Genomic DNA, 21,578 nt, shown 5'->3' with positions numbered 1-21,578 from the left:
GAGTACAGTGGTGCAATCATGGCTCACTGCAGCCTCGACCTGCCAGACTCAAATGATCCTCTGACCTCAGCCTCCAGGGTAGCTGAGACTACAGTTGTGCACTGCCCGGCTAATTTTTTAAATTTTTTGTACAGACAGTGTCTCTCTATGTTGTCCAGGCTGGTCTTGAACTCTTGGATTCAAGCAATCTCCCACCTTCGCCTCCCAAAGTGCTAGGATTATAGGCATGAGCCACCATGCCTAGCCTATTTCTTTAATTTTAATAAATTAATAGATATGACTATATCTCATTTTTGTTTTCGTTTGCATTTACTTAATTACTGGTGAGGTTGAAGAGTTGTTCATACATTGACTCAGTTATTCATTCAATTAATTAACATTTATCAAGCTCCTACTAGGCAGACCAGGAAACCAGGCCTGTGTCAGACACTGTCCCTGCCTTTGGGGGAACCTCTCCTCCACCTGTCTTTACTTTTATACAAACTGCCTGTTAAAATTCAACTATCTGCTTATAGGAGGCTTGTGCCATCTTTTTAGCTTGAATAAGCACTTTATGTAATATAGAAAACAAATATGTACCTATTATATTTTCAATATCTTCCCAATTTACTCTTTTCTTAGTTTTGATGGTTTGGTTAAATAACTATAATTTTTATATAGCCAGAAATAACAGTCATACTCAAAATAAAAATATTTAATAATTAGAAAGATAAAATATCAATATGTGATAAAATCAAAAATATTTAATCAAAATCTATTTAAAATTTCTTTTGTTTGCTGAATTAACTATATCCTAAAATATACATGCTACATTATGGAGAAAATAATTTCCAAAATATTCTGGAAATTTCCAAATCATTGGTCTTTTTTTTTTTTTTTTTTTTTTTTTTTTTACAGATTGTTATTGTGATCTTAGTTGATGTAGCTATCACCTAGCTAAGTGATGCTCCTGTTCAAACCATGTAATAACCACATCAATAACTTCACTGTTATACTGACAGTCTGCTCCTGGGCATACTGCAGGCTCTGCACTACTGGGTTATTATATACCTGGATGCTAATGCCTCCCAGAGGGCCTATGCTCCAACTGACTCTGCCCCTGCACCCCCATTCTCCCCAACCCCCACTTCCAAAACACTGCCACCAATGCCACCTGCTCCACTGCCTGCTTTGTCATCCCTGACAACGTAGAGCAGAGGGAGGGCACTATGCACACCTCCACTCTCACCTCCCGGACCACTCAGTGGCTACTGGGGCTGTCAATATCTATGCTGGCCGTCCTCCCATGTCCACTACCCCGCCATGGTCACTGATGGGTGGCATGATAAGATGCCTTATAATCTCAATAAAGAGATACTTTCTCAGCTGGGCGTGGTGGCTCACATCTGTAATCTCAGCACTTTGGGAGGCCTAGGCAGGCCGACTGCTTGAGCCCAGGAGTTTTGAGATCAGTCTGGGCAACAAAGTGAGACTGCTTCACTACAAAAAATAGAAAAAAAAAAATTAGCTGGGCATGGTGGTGCACACCTGTGGTCCCAGCTACTTTGGGAGGCCGAGCTGGGAGGATTGCTTGAGCCTGGGAGGTTGAGGCTCTGGTAAACCATGATCACACTGCACTCCAGCCTGGGCAACTTTTTTTGTCTCCAAAAACAAGAAAAGAAAAAAAAAAAGAAATACTTTCTCTTTACCAACTGGTATGAAAACATTTCAGTATGTTAACACCCAATATAGCTCTAATGGTGCATGCCAACTCTGGATATCCCAAAACAAATGCTTTATATAAAATGATAATTCAGAAACATAATTCTGGCAGATTTAACACTTACTTAGATAGCAAATCCTAAGCATTCTCAAATATTTTAGATGGTCAATATGGCAGGGTGTGGGAACACACTGGTATCATCCTCAAATTCTCCACATTTGAGCTTTGCATGCATAGACTGAATATCTAACCTAAATAAACAAAACCCAAAGTCAGCTGATGAAAGCATATAAAGGATGGATACATTTACACCATTACTTTTATTCAATCATGACTGTTGAGCTACTCTTTCTGGCAATTAGACGACCAATAGATCCAAAATCTCACTAAGGCCAGCTGGAAAGAACTTTAGGAAAGCAAAGTTTCTCTCTGCTCTGCCCCAGGCCCATTTCTACCCTCTTGCAGAGAACATGGAAAGAAGACACAGAACTGGTTTCTGGGAGTAAAAGTATTGAGTCTGTTAAGAAAAATGTTCCAAAGCTCAGAAAGAAGGCAGAAAGATTACTGTGTGCCCTTCAATGTCATACTAGATCCTAGGTTCATCTGACACTGTAGGAGGACACTTATTTGAATGAAAAAATAACCCCAAAGCTTATGGTTTTATTGCCCTGTGGGACATTAACCAGTGTTGAATATAACTTGGCAATCTCATTTCCACATTTCTTCTTTCATTGATTATATATAATTCAGTCTCGTGTATTCCTGAAACCAGGTTTTTTCACTCAGTGTTTCCTTCAGTGAGTTAATCAAATCTTTTACATGTGCTTGTTACATATTTGTATGAGATTTCATGTTCTTAACTTTTTCAATAAGTATATAAAAATGCTCCAAGTCACTAATCATTAGGGAAATGCAAATAAAAATGGCAATGAGCTATCACCTCACACCTTTCAGAATTAGAATTTAAAAAACAGAAAATAACAAGTACTGGTGAGGATATGGAGAAATTGGAGCCCTTGGGTACTGTTGGGGGGAATGTAAAATGGTTCAGCTGCCATGGAAAACAGTATGATGCTTCCTTAAAAAATTAAAAATACAACTATCATATGATCCAACAATTTCATTTCTGAGTATATACATGAAAGAATTAAAATCAGGGTCTTGAAGACATATTTGTACACTGGTGTTCATAGCAGCATTATTTACATTAGGTAAAAGGTGGAAGCAACCCAAGTGTCCATTGATGGGTGAATGGGGAAACAAAACATGACAAATACTTCCAATGGAATATTATTGCACTGTGAAAAGAATGGAAATTCTGACACATGCTACCATGTGGATGAACTTTAAAGACGTTATGCTAAGTGAAATAAGCCAGTCATAAAAATACAAATACTGTGTGATTCCACTTATATGTATGTAGTCAAATTCATAGAGACAGAAAGCAGAATGCTGACTGCCAGGGACTGGGGGGAGGGCAGAATAGGGAGCTATTGTTTATTTAAAACAGAGTGTCAGGTTTTAAATTTTTAAAAATTTTTTGATAGAGATGGGGGTTTCACTGTGTTGGATTTTCAGTGTTGCCAGACGAAGAGCTCTGTAGATGGATGATGATCATGGTTGAACAACAATGTGAATGCATTTAATGCCACTGAACTGTAGTCTTAAAAATGGTTATGATGGTAAGTTTTATGCTACAGGTATTTTACCATACTTTAAAAAGTTTATTTTCCTTTCTCTATCCTCAATTTTGAACACAAGTCCTAATTCTGTTTAATGTCGGAACTATTATTACTTCAGTTCCATCCCAGCTAGGGATGGCCTAACCCTCAAGGGAGTAGGGCTGGCTCAGAGACTGTGGCATCAGTTAGAGAGTGGCTGGAACCTGGTGGAGGCAAAGCCAGTCAAGAGCTGATGGAGGTAGGGGCGGGGGCTGAAACAGGCAGGGAGAGGGGAAAGGATCAAGTTCTCCAAACAAGCCTTAGAGCAAACTGTTTGTCAGAAAGGGGTCAGGACAAGAAATATGCTGTAGAGACAGGGTGGTGTTAAAAGGGAGAGAATCATACACCAGGACATAGGTCCTTGAAGATCAGGTCAATTCCAGAGTAGAGATGGGGGTCCCAGAAAGCTCAACAAGGCACTATCAGATACAGAGATCTTCTCACAGCTGCTCTTTCTTTCCACTTTTTCCATCTTTCCTCACTGCTGCTGAAGGGAAATACACCAGAATCTTATGGTCTTTATTAATGAGTGGTCTGGATTACCTCAGCATTTGATTTCCACCAAATCCTCATGGTATTGCAGTAGGAGCACTGAAGGGAGAATTGACAATACCCAAGTGCTGTAGCTAGCTGTCAAAGAAAGGGGACAGTGCCTTGGTTCCAGGAGCAGTTGGCCGGGAAGCTCTTCCCTATGGATGGCAGAGACATTCCTCATCTCAGAGGTTGGAACGTTACAGAGTTCGAGGGCTCTGCAATGAGTTGCACATTTGCGTTCAGTGCACATTGTACCATTTTTAGTTATTTTTAATTCAGACAAAGAGCCTTCCCTGGTCCTTTGTGGCTGTTTGTTTGTTCCATTGGGCTTTTGCTGGAGCTGTTATTTAACAGTTTCCTCTTTCTTTCTTTAATAAGTGATCTTTTTTAGCTTTGTTTCATGTTACTTGCTTGTATCTTTCACTTTTTATTAAACAGGGATGAGGAAGCAAGGGAAGAGCTCTGAGAACCATCCCATCATTTCTCCTGGCCAGGTCTGTGGTGTGCCTTCCTACATCCATCCCAATGCTCATCAGAACCATATGTCAGATCCAGCAAAATCAAAATGCAGGGGCTACTTCTACCCTTAAAATTGTTCTTGCAAGTCATTCAAAAGAACCACTAAGAAAGGAAAAAAATAATTCTCTGTCATTTCCTGTATAATTTAAATATCTCATAATCATTTTTAAGCAATAATATTAGCCTCAAAGGCAGCTTGGGGACATGGTTGGAATAATGCCACTCCAAAATTTTTAGAAAATGAGATCTGTAAACTAGTATTCATGTTCTCTAACATATGTAACCACAGGACACAGGCAATTCACTTGAGAAGCCCAGGCCATAGATGGAAAGTAAAATAAATGGGAAACAATACCCAGAGAGCATGAACCCTCTAGAGAACAGTTACGGGGTGTTAAATACATAGCCAGAGGGTTTCTCTGCTGATAGAGCCCCTTTCATACTAGCAGGCCTCCCAGTCATCTCATTTTAAGGCAGAACTTGAAAAGAATGTTAGTACTATGCAGATATTTCCCACTAACTTGCTGTAAAACATTATTCCCTCAAAACATTGTGGGGCACACAGCTGTTATGCCCCTATGGGACCCTGGCTCCAACATGGCAGAGCCAATGACAGTCTGTCTACTTGGCCATCACGTAAGTTCACGTAGCCTCCCATCACATAAGTTCCTTGCCCTCCCAGAACCAGGTGAGAAGGGACCCTACACTACTTGGTAATCTACTAGGAAATGAAGGCAACATTAAACATGGGCTTATGTCCCTGGAAAGCAAATTTGATCATGGATTCACCCATTTAATAACTTTTTCATCAAACTCCTCAACTTATCTCTCCTTTTTTGAAGTTACTGCTAGAATACCAGTTCAACTGGAAATTTGGTTCCATCTGTGGGGCCTACCAAGTGACACTTCTTCATTTTAACATTATCCTTTTTACGTCACAGGTTTACTCCCATGATGCCCCCACCCCGGAATTGTCCAAGATGACAACCTGCCTCCTTAGTTATGGGGGCCATCACTTCTACAGCTGCCTGACATTACAAAGTCTCATTCTTCACCTAGATGATCAAACTAAGGAAACCCATACATTTCCTAACTGTAAGTGAATGACTTGACTCTACCGTATTCAGCCTAGATTGACCTGGACTGTCCAACTCTAGTTAGTGCTAACAAAGCAGGCAGTATACAACATATATTCCTAAATTTCCAAAGGCCAAAGTTCTTCTTCAGCCCTGAGGGCTCTTGGAATATACTCCATGGTAAGTCAACATTCACTCCTGGATTGTGGCTAAAAGGACGCCACCCAAAGAGACTGGCATCTACTCTAATATGATTCTACTGCATAGTAGCATTATTCACTTGTTCCTTTTGTTTCAACACTATTCCTCCTTTACTCACTTTATTATTTGTGATGGCTGTCATCATTATATAATTCATATATTCATCTTTTTTGGCTTTATGTTATGTTCAATAATGACACATTATTCTATTTCCTTATGATTTTAGTTCATGTATTATAATCCTGCCTTATATTCTAGTGTATGACTTTTTGTTTAAAGTGCGTATCTTTTATGTGGCATTTTAAAGTTTATGGCTATAATGATTGTTATATTTTGGCCATCTATCTTTCTTATTTTCGCTATTCCTTATTTTCACTTTATAAATGCCATAGTTATTAATTAAGCACCTTAAATATACTCCCTTCTAAGTAAAATTATTTCTATGTAAATCAAATCTGCACACAAACACATACAAACACAAGTCACTAAAATTATCAAATTCATATTTTGGTGATTTCTAGTTACAGCAATAATAAAACCCAAAGCTCTTAGGCTTCTTTCTATGGGTAAAAAAGAACATTTAGGCTATTGGTTTTAGTTCTTCCTCATCTTATCTCATTCTCAATTTTTGGACTGTTATTTGGAAACTTATACTTTTCTTGGGAGTCAGAAAGACACCTATTCAATTCTGACTCTACAACTTAACAAAGCAAGTCACTTAACCTCTTTGAGACTATTTTCTCATCTGAAACAAGAGGACAATACCACCAGGGTTTTTGAAGACTGAATGAAATAATGTGTTATAAAAAAACTTGATAATTATAGATGTTCTCTAAATATTAGTTCCCTTCCTCTCTTCCTTTTACGTTTTAGATCACAATTTTATTCTGCAACGGGTCTATGGTCTATGCATTGATCCTCCTAGTTAATGTTTTTAGTATCCCATCTTGACAGCAGGACTTCATAAGGTGGCCACAGTGTGAAGAAATTCCTGTTCTGAATCCAAAGTGTAAGGTCATTGACTATTTAGGGTTAGTGGGTATATTAGTCTGTTTTCACACCGCTGATCAAGACATATCCGAGACTGGGCAATTTACAAGAGAAAGAGGTTTAATTGGACTTACAGTTCCACATAGCTGGGGAAGCCTCACAGTCATGGTGGAAGACCAGGATGAGTAAGTCACGTCTTACGTGGATGGCAGCAGGCAAAGAGAGCATGTGCAGGACAACTCCCATTTTTAAGACCATCAGATCTTGTGGGACCCATTCACTATCGCAAGAACAGCACAGGAAAGACCCGCCCCATAATTCAATCATCTCCCACTGGGTCCCTCCCACAACATGTGGGAATTATGGGAGCTACAAGATGAGATTTGGGTGGGGACACATAGCCAAACCATATCAGTGGGATATGTGAAAATCTTTCTCTAGCTTTTCCAAATGAATGACATCTTGCCTGGATAATTTTTTTCCATAAAAAGAGCTGCAGATGTTGTTTCATTTCCTTGGGGAGTTCATGGTCTTAATTTCAGCTACATCTGAAATCAGTACTTGGAATATTATCTGGCCTTTTTTCCAGATGTTTAGGATTTCTTCCTCACTGAAGTTTGAAAATGTTATAAGTAAACATCTTGGCATCTTTCTCTGGATGTAAATTTCCAGATTAACTTCCTAATACATAGGCCACATCTTTAATGAATTCTGGAAATATTGTCTACCTTAAATTGTTGATTCGTTAACATTTATTTATTCTATTAGCTCAAGTACTTTCACCTATTATTTTTAAGTTAAAACACTGTGTTCCATTCTAGAAGTGGATCATTTTGGCCTGGCATTATTTATACATGTTTATTTAAGCTATCCAATTTTTTATTTGATTCTGTAGTTAATAAATATGCTTCCCTAATTAACTATTTAGTAGTTCTCCATGTAAACTCTTCTCTTTACTAGTTCTGGAAATATTCTTAATTGTATGTAATACTGTAATTTTCACTAAATGGCTTTTTATTTCCTGGCTTTAGTTATGTCAGGCAATTTTAAAGTTCATTGTTTTTTTTTTCCTATTCTTTTATAGTTTTGTTATTTGGAATTACAACTTTTAAAAATTAGCTGAATTATTTTAAAAGTTCTTCTTTGTTTTTTGGATACTGAGGCTATGTTATTGAAGATTTTTGTTTGAGAAAATGTCATTGGCATTTGAATGGGTTTACTATGAAGAAGGCTATCTATACTGCTACTTAGGCCATTAATTTCCCAGAAGCAACAGTATTTTTACTTTAAATTCTAGTTTTTAGAAATAAGTACAGAAGTACTGTAGGTTTTGTTAAACTAACGATAAAATTCTTCCAATAAGTGAGACTCCTCTATGTACTTTTATGTACCAATAAGCTTATATCTTGAGGTTTTATCTTCAAATGAGCCTCTGTCCAACAGATAAAATTATACTTAAAAAAAAACTGAAATGTAAATAATTAGTTTCCTCTGTTAGGATTTTACTCTTAACATCATGACTGATCTAGAACTAAAAGAAGAAACATCCTGCCTAACCACACAGAGCTCAAAGTACTGTTTTCCTCCATAATAATAATCCACAATAATATGATCCATTGTAGCAAAGTTGGAATTAAGTCAAGTGGCGCAAAGCTCTGCTTTAACATTTCTTAAGTCAAGCTTATGACATCTGTCCCTGGAGATCTGAATTAGGAACTCCTCAGTATGTTAGTCTGAGAACAAGTTTTAGCATTAAGAAAAGAGAAGCTATTTATTTTTATATTTATCACACACCCAGCCATTTTACCAAATTTCCAACTCCAAACGAAGCAAAAATCTTTATATATCGAGAAATGCACTTTAAAATAAAACTACGATATATTTGAATTGAGAAGCATGTTTTCCAGATGGAAACCGCAAAATATAAAAAAGTCCTTTCCAATAATACATGATTTTAATGCAGTTGTAATTGGAATCTCAATGGTTGTTTTCCCCTTTTTGCAATATAACAAAATGAGTTTAAATTTTATATGGAAAAAATGTCAAACAATAGCAATAAATGTTTAAAAAGAAGAATAAAATGGGACCCAGTTACTTTTCTAGATATTAAAACCTGAAATCAAACTATTATAATGAAGATGGCATCATTGACATTGGAATAGAAAATAAATCCAGGAAATATAATAAAAAGTACAGAAATTGATCCAAATTGATCCAAGTATATGTGGAAACAATATATGACTAAAGTAGTGTTCCAATTCAGTAGATAAAAGAGGGTTTTTAAAGTAAATGATGTCATGGAGTTGGCTGTTTGGAGGAACATATTTATAGCTCACATCATATACAAAATATATTCTAGATGGATTTAATACATAACATGGAGAAATGTTTTTTAAAATATTAGAAGAAGAATAAGGAGGATATTTATATTACCTTGGATAGAGGAAATATGCCTAAGCAAGACAAGAAGCCAAAAAACTATAAAGGAAAACACAGACATATGTGAATAAATACTTTTTAAAAAAAGAAAGAAAAAGAAAAAGTATGACAAAGGATACTATAAGCAAAACAGACAAATGATGGGCTGGGAAAGAAATAACTGCAGCATATAAAGCGGACAAAGTATTACTATCACTAATAAACTAAGGATTCTGTATAAATTGAGGGAAGAGTCAAATAACCTTATAAAAACATGGGCAAAGGATTCAAAACGACATTCACAGAAGAGAAAATGCAAAAGATCAATGAAAACATATGAAAATATGCTCAACTTCACCAGAATTCAAGGGAATGCAAATTAAAATAGAATACCATTCCTCACCCATTAGAGTGGTAATTTCCAGTGATGACTAGGAGATAGAAAACAGGCAGGCTCATATTTACTAATGGGCATCCAAATTGCTACAACCTTTTAAGAAAGAAATCTAGTAATATATATTAAAATGTAAGAGACCTAAGTGCTTTTACTCAACAATCCCCCTGTTTGGGATTCCACCACAGTAAAGCATGGATGTATGACAGGTTAGTTAGAAGAAACACAACCACAACCAAGGAAGACAAAACTAATATCACTCCACAGGCGACAGTGGAGTGAAGATGATATAATCATTAACATGAATCTGTTAGATCCACAACTACAAGCTAGGTGAATTCTGTGACATTTGTCACATAAAAGATAGCTGCACATTAACTTTTATATTTGAAAAATTTCCAGACAACTACCTAATATGCATGCATGTGATTGAACTGTATGCAGTTGCTGATTTCAACTACTTTGGCCTAATAAAATAACAATTTCATAAATTGCAACCCAACATATGTTTATTACACATTTATGAGCATGAAGAAAAACGTGGAATAATACACCCCAAAGCATTAACATTGGTTACATGGGGGAGGAGGGAGGCAAGGGAGAAAGGGGGAAATGAGCTTCTTCCTATATCTTTTTACTTGTAAAAACAAGAGCGTGTTACATTTGTAAATTAAAAATACCTGATAAAGAAAATAAAGAAGCCCAGGCCTGGTGGCTCATGCCTGTAATCCTGGCACTTTGGGAGTAGGCTGAGATTGGAGGATCACTTGAAGTGAGGAGTTCGAGACCAGCCTGGCCAACATGGCAAAACCGTCTCTATAAAAAATTACAAAAATTAGCCAGGCATGATGGCACATGCCTGTAGTCCCAGCAGAGGCAGGAGAACCGCTTGAACCCAGGAGGCAAAGGTTGTAGTGCGCCAAGATCGCGCCATAGCTCTCTACCCTGAGGGACAAAGTGAGACTCTATTTCAAAAAAAAAATAAAATAAAATAAATAAAAGAAAGAAAAAAGACTCTCAGGCTCGATATTGCTTGAAAACATATATCTACATATGTCTACGGTAATGGCCCACTTTATCAAACATAATAAAAAACAATTTACGTCCTTGTCTCTTTCACCAAGATGGTTAAAAATGAGTTGTTTAAAAAAATAGACTTCCAGAATATATTTGCAATGAAACTAGCAAAAATTAAAATTCAGAGAACTGAATGACTGTTCTGTCCAACACTTAACTGTTGACAAGTGGAGCAAGAGGAACTCTTATACTGCTAATGAAGAATAAATTGGTATAACCACTAATGGTCAACCTAATAAGGTGAATATTTGCAATGTTCTATGCCTTAGCAACTGAACTCCAAAGTATACGTCCTAGAAAAACTCCTGAATGTGAACCAGGAGACATGAACAGAATGCACACAGCAGCATCGTGCATCAGAGCAAAAAGGTGGACACAACCCAAATGCCCAACATGTGTAGAATGAATAAAGTGTGTGATATTTCACACAGTGGAAGAATGATACACTAATTATTGCTAGATAGCAGTAAAAATGGGTAAACTACAGCTATGTACATCCACCTGGATGAATCTCAAAACATAATGTTGGTTAAAAATCCAAGCCAAAGAAGAAGCATGATGTCATTTATTTAAAGTTCTAAAACAGGTGAAACTAAACCATATGCAGGGAAGTGATAAATAAAATGTCCAGATTATGGCTTTCTGGGAAGGAAGAAAAAGGAGGATGGAATTGGAGAGAAGCATACAGGAGTTTTTAAAGGTGGTACTTAAAAGATGGGGAATGTATGTGGGTTTGTTCTACTAACAGTCTTTAATATATATATGTATGCACATGTATTCATTATTTTGATGTGTGATATTTTACATATACACACATACATACACATATAGACACAGAAAGAATGCCTTTAGGTCTATGTCTAGCTTTCACAGCTTTATGCCTATGAAGCTACGAAAGACCAGAATATGCAACCCCCAAATGGGAAGGAATTGTTGATCTGAAGGCTACCAAGAAGCAGATGCAAGAAAATTCTTTACCTCCTTCTATTTGCCTTAAAGTAGGACACAGATTTATTAAAGACAAAAAGGTATCCCGCCCCGCACTCCCCTCCTTCTCTACCGGGGAGAACGAAGGCTAATCATTGAGGACAACTTAAGACCCTTATTGGCCTGGAGATGGTATGAGAGGAATCTACATGAACAAGGATTACTAACTTGCCTTTATCTGCCATTTATTTGCCTTCCCCAAAATTGACCCACTTAGAGACTGAAAGTTATTTTCCATTGTCTTGTCACTTCTCTAAAGAATGTACTGTTCTTTGCTGAAGATGCTCTATAAGCTGGAATTCAAAGCCATCTCTTTAGGAACTACTCAATTTCATATACCATGTGTATATGAAATAAACATGTTAATAAACTTGTTTGTTTTTTGCTTTTTAATCTGTCTTTTGTTACAGGGGGCCATTCCAACTAAGAACCTATAAATATTGAAGAAAAACTTATTTTTATTCCCCTACAAAGCCCATCCGCTTATTGAAGAAGCCACTTAACCATCTTCCAGGTATACTTTGTGTTGTAGATTCTTAATACATAACTGAATAAATATATTTCTAGAGTAATACTCAAAGGAATATTGCTGAGAGCCATATTCTTCCAGTGCCAAAGTAAAATGGAAAGTTATCTTATGGAATTTTTTGTTGTATGCCAGAACTGGAGAGAATATAACAGAAAACCCAAGCTAAACACACACTGTGACATAAATATTTCCAAGTCACCTTGGGAAAATAATTTGCCAAGTTATAGCAAAAAGCAAAGGTAATATTTCTGAGTAGAGTTACATTGGTTTTACTTTTACCCTGGGTTAAGAATACCTTTCTTTCACTTTAAGATTTAAACTAAATGACACCAAAACTCCAACCTTGGCTAGTAAGATTTTTGAGGGCAGGGGAAAAAAATGCCTTTTCTCAACCACAAATCTCGTGTACTCAGGAAACACTGATTTGTTGGGAATAGACCAGGTGGAGCTCTATTTCCAGATATTACAATGTTGGTCCTGATTCACAGCAGTTGAGCGGCTAAAAGCATTCTAAATAAGGCAGTGTTTCACCAGGTGAAGGAAGACAATTAGAAAGGGAGGAAGTCTGTCCTTATTCCCATCCTCCACAGCTGCCTGAAACCAAAGTTGTACCCATGACTGAATCACTACTCATTTTGATCTCCCGGCTTCTTTTCCTTTCCAAGGATTATTTTGAGTACTTGGACTTCTATTTTACTCACTCAGTTGTATCTACTGTGGTTAGGAGTTTGATAAATAATCTGATTTAGCTAAGATGCTTTACTGACAGGATATCCTGTATCTAGTTAACTAAGTAAGGCTAGAGGAAAGAGTGATTAGATAATCTGAATGCATGTTATTTTTAAAAAGTAAAGGAAAAGACAAAAAAGCCAAAGTAGCTACAGGGCCTTTATTATCTCCAATAAACCAAAACAGTACGGCACTGAACTACCTTGTATCTGCGAACACAATTTATCTCTAGATGTCACATTTTTATTTTCTAATGCTAGAAAGTTCTACATTGTGCTCAACACCTGGAAATATAGGTGCAGTACAACCAATGAGTTAAAAAGCTTTAAGTTTTCCCTTTAGCAAACAAAAAAAGGGAAATTAAATTAATGGCTGCTCTTGAATATTTATTTTTCCCAAAGTTTTTCAGACTGCTTTTATAAAATAACAGTTTTACTGATATATAATGAAATACCATAAAATTCACTTTGAAGGTATACAATTCAGTGTTTTTAGTATAGTCACAGATTAGACTGTGAATTCTGTACCCATCACCACTATCAAATATCAGAATATTTTCATCACCCCAAAAAAGCAAACCCAAGGACCGGGCATGGTGGCTCACTTTGTGAGGCCGAGGCAGGCGGATCACTTGAGGTCAGGAGTTTGTGACCATCCTGGCCAACATGGTGAAACCCCGTCTCTACTAAAAATACAAAAATTAGCCGGGCGTGGTGGCACACACCTGTAGTCCCAGCTACTTGGGAGGCTGAGGCAGGAGAATTGCTTGAACTCAGGAGTCGGAGGTTGCAGTGAGCAGAGATCGCTCCAATGTACTCCAGCCTAGGCGACAGAGCGAGACTCCATCTCAAAAAAAAAAAAAAAAAAAAAGCGCAAACCCATACCCATTAGCAGTCACTTCTCCTTCCCCTCTTCCCTCTCCCCCAGTCTGAAACCACTAATCTACCTCCTGTCTCTATGGATTTGTCTATTCTGGACATTTCAGTGCCTGGGATCATATAATATGTAGCCTGTTGTGTCTAGTTTCTTTCACCTAGCATAGTGTTTTCAGGGTTCATCCATGTTGTAGCATGTATCAGTACCTTGTTCCTTTTCATGGCTGAATAATCCATTGTATAGATACACCACATTTATGTTGTTTCCTCCAGGTTGCTTGTTTATGATAAGAAACAAAAGCAAGCCTAGGAAGCAGAAAGAACCAGATTCCAGCTGCGTACTCAACCTAAACCAGGGATTAACAAACACAATTACTATTATATCTGCATTTATACCCAATTCTTGTAAACTGCACTACTCCTGGAGGATGTTAATGGAGACGTCAGCTGTGGTAACATGGAATTCTAAAAATTTCTCTTACACTATTAATGAGGAAAGAAGAAAGAAAATGGAATTTTAAAAAATTGAGGCTGAGGTAGGAAGATTACTTGAGCCCAGGTATTCAAGACCAGCCCAGGTAACATAACGAGACCCTATCTCTTCAAAAACATTTAAAAATTAGCCAGGCGTGGTGGTGTGCACCTGTGGTCCTAGCTACTGGGGAGGCTGAGGTGGGAGGATCGCTCAAGCCCAGGAGGTCAAGGCTGCAGTGAGCTATGATCATGTCACTGTACTCCAGCCTGGGTGACAAAGGAAGTCCTTGTCTCAAAACAACAACAACAACAAAAACAAACAAACAAAACGATAATTGAGTAATTGCTACTATAGGTAAGCAGATAAACATATTGTGGTATACCAATACAATAGAATACTACCCAAGAATAAAAAGAATAAATAGTTGATGCATACAGCATGGATGTATCTCAATGTAATTACATTGAGATGGAGATAGAAGGGAGAGATGATCATGGAGCATGAGGAAACTTTTGAATGAATACGTTCATTATCTTGTTGGTGATGATGGTTTCATGGGTGTATGCAGTCAAAATTCATCAAATCATACACTTTGAATATGTGTTATTTATTGTATATCAACTATACCTAAATAAAGCTGCTAAGAAATAATTTTTTAAAGGAGCATAGGCATACTCATCAAATTACATACATCAAATATGTGCAGCTTTTTAAAATCTCAATTATACTTCCATATGGTTGTTTTCAACACGTGTATACATCCTAAAAAGGTATTTGCATGACTACTGTGTGGAAAACACTGCCTTCATTTTGCATATATAATTTCAATTAATTTTATAGCAAGTAAAGTTATTCTCATTTTTCATACTAGGAGACTTAAGGTTGAGAAAGTTCAGTAATTTGCCAAGGTGGTCACAGTCAGTATTACGCTAACTTCAGTTCATTTTAACCCCACAGCCCCAGCTCTTTTCTCTACACCACACTGCCTCTCACTGCTCCTATTATAGACCCAACCCGTCCCAGAACTTCCCAAGTCAGGGAATTTTCCCATCCACAGAAGAGGTTGATGCTTTAGGATAGCATTCCACATTTGTTTTGTCCATCATTTTGTGCTGCCACAAATACCTCCCCAACCAATTTATCTGATTCAGTGGATTTATTCATTTTCAGTGGATCAGAGTGGTTAATCTAGATTAGATCAAGGCAAGTAATCCTGGTCCCTGGGTCAAAGAAATGAAAATAATTCACTTGAGATTCAAAGTAAGCTGCAAAAACACCAAAAATTGGCCACTCAACCCACTAGCCAGGTATTACATTTCTTTGGGATAATAGTCATTTCCTTTGATGTCGGGAGGCCCAAGAAGGTGGCTATCTAAAGCTGCTCTGAGGGGTCCAGCTAGTTTTTGTAGCAAACTTGAACCGTAAGTTGAGGTTGACATCCTGTCTCTGAATAAGGAAAGCATAGGGTGGTTTTCTCTCTCTGTGTAGCTCCTCCAGATCATCTTTCACCACACAAACAACTGAACTCTGTCCAAATACTACCATTGTATCTGGGTCCATTTGAACATGGGCTATAACCTTGACTAAGTAAAATTAATAAAAATGTGAAAGCTGGTTTAAACAAGTTTTTGTAAGTTATCTACGCTTTTTGGAAATACTGCCATTCCTTCATGCAAGACTTCCGTGATGAAGGTTAACTGTGCTGTATATCTTCCATTTGCCTCTCCAAATCCATTCTCCATCCTATTCCACCTGGCTTATACCCCAGGAAACTAAACCGCATGAACTCAGTGGCAGACTTCCTTGCTCTTTGCCTCCCAGTTGGGTTTGGCCAATGAGGAGCATGAGCAGGCGATCAGAATAAGTGGAAGAATCAGTTCAGGTTATTTGTTTCCTGGGGTCTCTGCCTGCAGGATCATTATAATCTGGCTATATCCCTTTCCTGGAGGCCACAGCTCCACTAAGGAGGTCCTCTCCCCACTGTCCTCATACCTCAGGCCAAAGGATAATATAGGAGCCCTGGAAAACTGCATTCTCCCTTGCAGTTTTCCTATACTCTGCCCTTATCCTTGGAAATATTCTTTTTACTAAGTACTCTTGAAATTAACCAGTTTGAGGATGCCAATTGTTTCCAATACAGCTGGCATTTTCTGAGGGCTGAGTATGCCCTATTCAGAATATGAACTTATTCAAAGTTCTCAGTTTATATGAAAACACTGACATTCATGGGATTAATAACAAGCCCAGGCAAAGATTAACAATGGCTAGATGAGGAGTAGAGTGGTCAGACAGCATCCATTCAGCCTCACACCAGTGCTCACTGGCAATTGTGTAAGGTGAAGGCATAGTCACAGAACTTATGAGAACAGTGAATGTGGTAGATACATTACACAGATTTTAAAATGTGAGGAAAGCAAAACATTTTCAGGTTGATATGTCATGCTTCTTCATGCTTATAAATTATATTTCCATGGTGACATCAACCTTTTTTGCATATGGTATTCCACTTCGATTGAAGCTTTAAGCCATTTTTTGGTTGTAATTATAAAATATAAAGAAAGAGATGCTTGCTACAATAAAAACTGCCTAAATGGCAAATCTAAGCTTTCAGAGAGGTACCATCTGTTTTTCCTCATTGAGAGGTATTATCATATATAGTGAAAAATGCTATAAAAGTGAAGTGATGCTTTTTCTGTCATGAATAAATTATAATCCCAAGTAGATTTTGATTACTTAGAGCTTATAGCAAAGACATAAGTCCATTAAGGAAAAGATGGATCTTGATCCTATCTGAGCCCAAAACAAATACTTCCTATCTCCAGAATCACCTCAACTATATCATTCCCATGAAGTGTATCTAAAATAGCTGCTTTAAGATTTATTTTCCTTGATGATTTTTCTTTAATGAAGCCAAAATGTTATTAATATTTAACATGAATCTGTAAAGGTCTTTTAAGTAAAAAGGCTAAAATGTTGAAATATTAATAATGACATTTTGTTTTTTTGTTTGGGGGCGGGGGTGTGTGTGTGTGTGTGTGTTATAGAATACGGCAGGGGATAGAAAACAGAAACCCACTGAATAAATCTAGGCCAGCAAGGTAAAAGCTCTATCCTTGTATTCATTATGGGTATTGATTAGAACTTAAAAGAGTATTTGAAAGAAGGTCTCAAAAGAAAATCTGGAGGACCCTGGCAGCTTTCATTTAATTCTGTATAACATCAGATGGCTCTTAGAAAGCACTCACTTATTTTCCAAATAAGTGGTAATTTCACTCTTTCAACTTTTCCTAACTCAGTGTGACATATCAGTGAATACCATCCTACATTTGTGTCATATTTTACAATTTATACAGTATATTCCTATTCATTATCTCAATTGATATTTACATAGTTCAGATATAGTCAGGGTGAATATTATAACCTCCATTTTACAGATGGGGAAACTAAGGCCTGGAGGTATAAGTCAAAACTCTTTTAGTCACAACTTGAATTAGCTTGGGCAAAACATGGGAATGTATTGGCTCACATGGACTGGATTCATGGACTCCAATTATGACTGGGCTCTCTCCTTCTTTCCCTTCTCTCTCTGACTCTCTCCGCCTCCCCTCTGTGCATTGGACCTGATTCTGTCCACAGACTGAAACACAGCTTTCCATGATTCTTACTGCCTTGGGACCAGAAAGGATGAGACCTCTCCTCTCAACTCGAGTTGGAAAATTCCAGAGGAAGAACCTACTGGCCCCTGCTGATGGCAGGCCCACCCTCTGAACCAACTATCGTGGTCTGGTGATGAAATACTGAGGCTTCCTCAGCATGGGTCAAGTCTCCTCCCCTGTGGTCAGTATTACCTAAACAACCTAAGAAAATCGGAACAGAATAGCCACTGAGGAGACTAGGAGGACAGAGGCAGCCACCTTAACTTGTTTCTACTGCCTTAAATAACTTGTCCAAGGGGCAGAATCAAAACAACTGCCCAGATCTTCGGTCTGCACCCGTCTCCTTCACTTCATAGCCTTTACTGCAGGAGCCACAGAGGTGTAACTGTGCCTCTCTCTTCCTCACAGTTACCATGTGGTCTGGCTCAAGACTAATTGGAAAAGACTTGATTCTGTCACTTTTCAGCTGTGTGACCCTAAGCACATTACTTAACCTCTGGGAACCACAGCTTCCTCCTTTGTAAAATAAACAGTTCCTGCGTTGCAGGGTCATCTAAAGGATAAAGGGAGATAATATACCCCAGATGACTTTGAAAATCATAAAAGAACTACATTAAGGTTTATTACTTAAGTTCCGCATATAAATGTTAACAGAGGCTAAAACTACACATTAACATCCTTCAGCTGTAGTTCTCACTACCACCAGCCCTCTCTGCTAGCATCACTTTGGTTCTGACATTTTTTTTCTTTCAGTTTTAAAAGGCACATTTTAAAAATAAGCATAATAGTGTCTCAAAATGTAAAACTTAGCTCAGAAGAAAAGCTTATGAACAGATGGTTCAATGGCACTTATATTCACCTTTTTGATACAGATTAACCAGGAGATGAAAAAATCTCTGGAAGAGACACAAGAAACTCTCCACAGTGGTTACCTCTAGGCACTGAGGCTACAAGTTGGTGGGAAAAAAACGCTTTTATTTTTCATTTATGCCTGTCCCTACTACTTGAATTTTTAAATATTTCACATATATTGTTTTTTTCTGCATGAATTTCTTTCATGATTAAAAAAACCTAACTAAAATCATAATTGTCACAAAAAAGGATCATATACCAGTTATAGTACACAGTATATAGTGTATGCTAGTTATAGTATACAGTATATAGCAGTTATAGTATATAACTGATATAGTGTCTGGTACATAAAAAGCTTTCAATAAGTTTGTGCTTATTGATCAAACTAGATATCCCTAGTTACCACCTAATCAGCTAAAATAAAATCTAGTTTTCATCTCTACGAATGTATATTTTTCCATGAATCATATTGTAAGAAATGCTCATTACCATCTGCCAAGGATATGATTTTAAACTCATAAATTCACACACCAAACATGAAACCTCCTTTTTAAATTCTCAATTTTAAACACAGTACATGTGGCTACCTCTCAACGCTGTTACTGCTCTTCTTATAAGCTGACTTCCTTATTAACATTGGAGGATGCTGGGCTTCTAGGAAGCATACCATTTTACAGCTGCGGGTTTGCATGATATTTTCTAAGAAATTAAAGGTTACATGGCAGCATATGCCAAAGCTAACAGAGATATTTAAATAGTATTTTTTAAAAATGATGTAAATGGCTAGGAAGTTTGAATGCTATGCACTGGTTAAGTGCTATACTGGTTGCCTAGTTACATCTCTGCAGAAAGGTTAAAATGGTTGTCTCTAAACCTAGAAGAAATTTAAAGTCCTAAAGTTTCATAGTTAAGCCAAGGATTACCTGCAAACCCCTATGCAGTCATGCCTTGAAACAAATCCCCGTCAGGTAATGGTGCTTGGGGATGTCTTAAGGAGACTGTTAATAAAAAGTATTTATATATATGAAATTTGTTACCTTGCTCTCATTTCATTAAAGTTATTACTTCTGGACTGTTCTTTTTTTTCTTTTTTTTTTTCTTTTTTTTTTTTTGAGATGGAGTCTCGCTCTGTCACCCAGGCTGGAGTGCAGTGGCACGATCTCTGCTCACTGCAAGCTCCGCCTCCTGGGTTCAAGCCATTCTCCTGCCTCAGCCTCCCAAGTAGCTGGGACTACAGGCATGTGCCACCATGTCCAGCTAATTTTTTTGTATTTTTAGTAAAGACTGGGTTTCACCGTGTTAGCCAGGATGGTCCCGATCTCCTGACCTCGTGATCCGCCTGCCTCGGCCTCCCAAATGGACTCTCCATTTTATCACTACCAATTGCAGTCTGCTACTATAGGCTATTAAAAAACTTTCCAACCTAGCTGATGCAAATTCTGTCCCACGATAGGTGGAAGAAAGTCCAGTATTTTAAATTTTTAAACTTAAAAACAAATTTTTACTGTGACCAGCTCTGCAAAGTACAGGCCAGTCTACAACGTAGTAACAAAAACTACACATCTTAAGAATAAACAACTAGTATCTTAACTCTCAGAGATGTTCCCCTTTTACCCTTCAAGGGTTTCCTAATTAATTCTACCTTGCAGACACTATGACATCCAAATATCTGTTCCCAGTAATGGAACAGAATAGAACAATTTTATAACAATTTTGGTGTAGAAATTTAACATGAGTGTATTAAAACGGATTCACACTTTTTCCAGAATTTGAAGGTAGGAGGAAACAGTCCTTTTCTTTTTTCCTCTTGAAGTTCAATCGGCATTTTGTTTTAAATTGAGGTAAAATTCACATATAAAATTAACCATCAGCCATTGTAAAGTGTACAATTCAATGGTATTTAGTACATTCACGGTGTTGTGCAGCTATCACTGCTAACTAGTTCCAAGATATTCCATCACCCCGGAAGGAAACCCTGTACCCAGATAAGTAGTTATTTTGATCCTTATTTACATTTACTCTCTAATTTCTCTTTGAAAAAGAATAAAAGAACCTAAGTTTAAATTACAGCATAAGAACTTGATGTGTTTTCATTTCTTCTGCAACTTGTTGATTCACAAAAATTGGTAAAGATTTGAAGCTGAAATGAGGCGAGTCTTAGCAAAATGAAACCAGGATTGAAAGTCCTGGAAGGAAGAAACCCAAAAAGAGATTGAGGAAAAAATCAAAATAATTCACAATTCTGTCCAGGCCCCATCCTTGTCAGAAAGCCAGATTCTACTTCAATGACTGATAGTGCTGAATCTTTTTTGGAAAGAAAAAAAAAAGAATTGAAATAGAATGCTTTGGATCTACCAAGTAGGAAATTTTGGAAGACAGGAAACTATTAAATACGTTAAAAAAAAAAAAAAAAAAAAAAAGTCTTCCAGCTCCTAAAAGTCAAATGCCTATTCTAGGGAAGCTAATTTATTGTTCTTTCAAGTACAATTACAGCTCTCTTTGCTTAGTCCTAATGATTTAGAGAATAAAATTCTCAAAATAAAAGCCACAGAAATGTAAGGGATGAGGCCCCAGGACCTTCAGCTTCCCTGATTTCTCAGTGTGGTTTTGCTACGGATGATGCTGGCAGAGTACTGCAGAAGTAGTGGGGAAAGGCCCAGCAAGCGTCTTTACCCAGATGTAGCAACTTTACATGGGGGTAAGTGGCTCATGCTCCACCGCTGGGAGTCAGGAAGCGCCATGTTCTTAGAACCAAATGAGACTCCAAGACATGATCCACTCCAATCCCCTCCCACTGGGCATTCCAGATAGTCTTCCTAATATTTACCTCTTCTTGAACAGTC

At 37.4% G+C, this 21,578-nt stretch overlaps 1 protein-coding gene across 15 annotated transcripts in view, besides 2 other annotated features; it reads right to left on the bottom strand.

Moving 5' to 3' along the window:
- GNG2 (G protein subunit gamma 2) overlaps positions 1-21,578 on the bottom strand; it is a 143,622-nt gene that overhangs the window by 66,939 nt on the left and 55,105 nt on the right. For 2 of the 15 annotated variants that reach the window (XM_047431488.1, XM_047431487.1), the window contains exon 3: positions 1,827-4,578. The exons of the other annotated variants lie outside the window; for them this stretch is intronic. The gene's annotated coding sequence lies outside the window, so the exon portion shown is untranslated. The remainder of the gene's footprint in view (positions 1-1,826; positions 4,579-21,578) is intronic. 15 annotated transcript variants of the gene reach the window in all.
- Positions 17,990-18,059: an enhancer, noted in NCBI's record as "active region_8384". NCBI's record gives its function as "activates an Ori minimal core promoter by ATAC-STARR-seq in GM12878 lymphoblastoid cells {active_cell/tissue: GM12878}" and the evidence as "EXISTENCE:reporter gene assay evidence [ECO:0000049][PMID:35858748]".
- Positions 18,310-18,409: a silencer, noted in NCBI's record as "silent region_5742". NCBI's record gives its function as "represses an Ori minimal core promoter by ATAC-STARR-seq in GM12878 lymphoblastoid cells {active_cell/tissue: GM12878}" and the evidence as "EXISTENCE:reporter gene assay evidence [ECO:0000049][PMID:35858748]".

The sequence above is a fragment of the Homo sapiens genome, chromosome 14 (genome assembly GCF_000001405.40).
Source record: "Homo sapiens chromosome 14, GRCh38.p14 Primary Assembly".
Lineage (NCBI taxonomy): Eukaryota > Metazoa > Chordata > Mammalia > Primates > Hominidae > Homo > Homo sapiens.
Note: the sequence above shows the minus strand (reverse complement) of the source record. Positions and strands in the feature narration are given on the sequence as shown.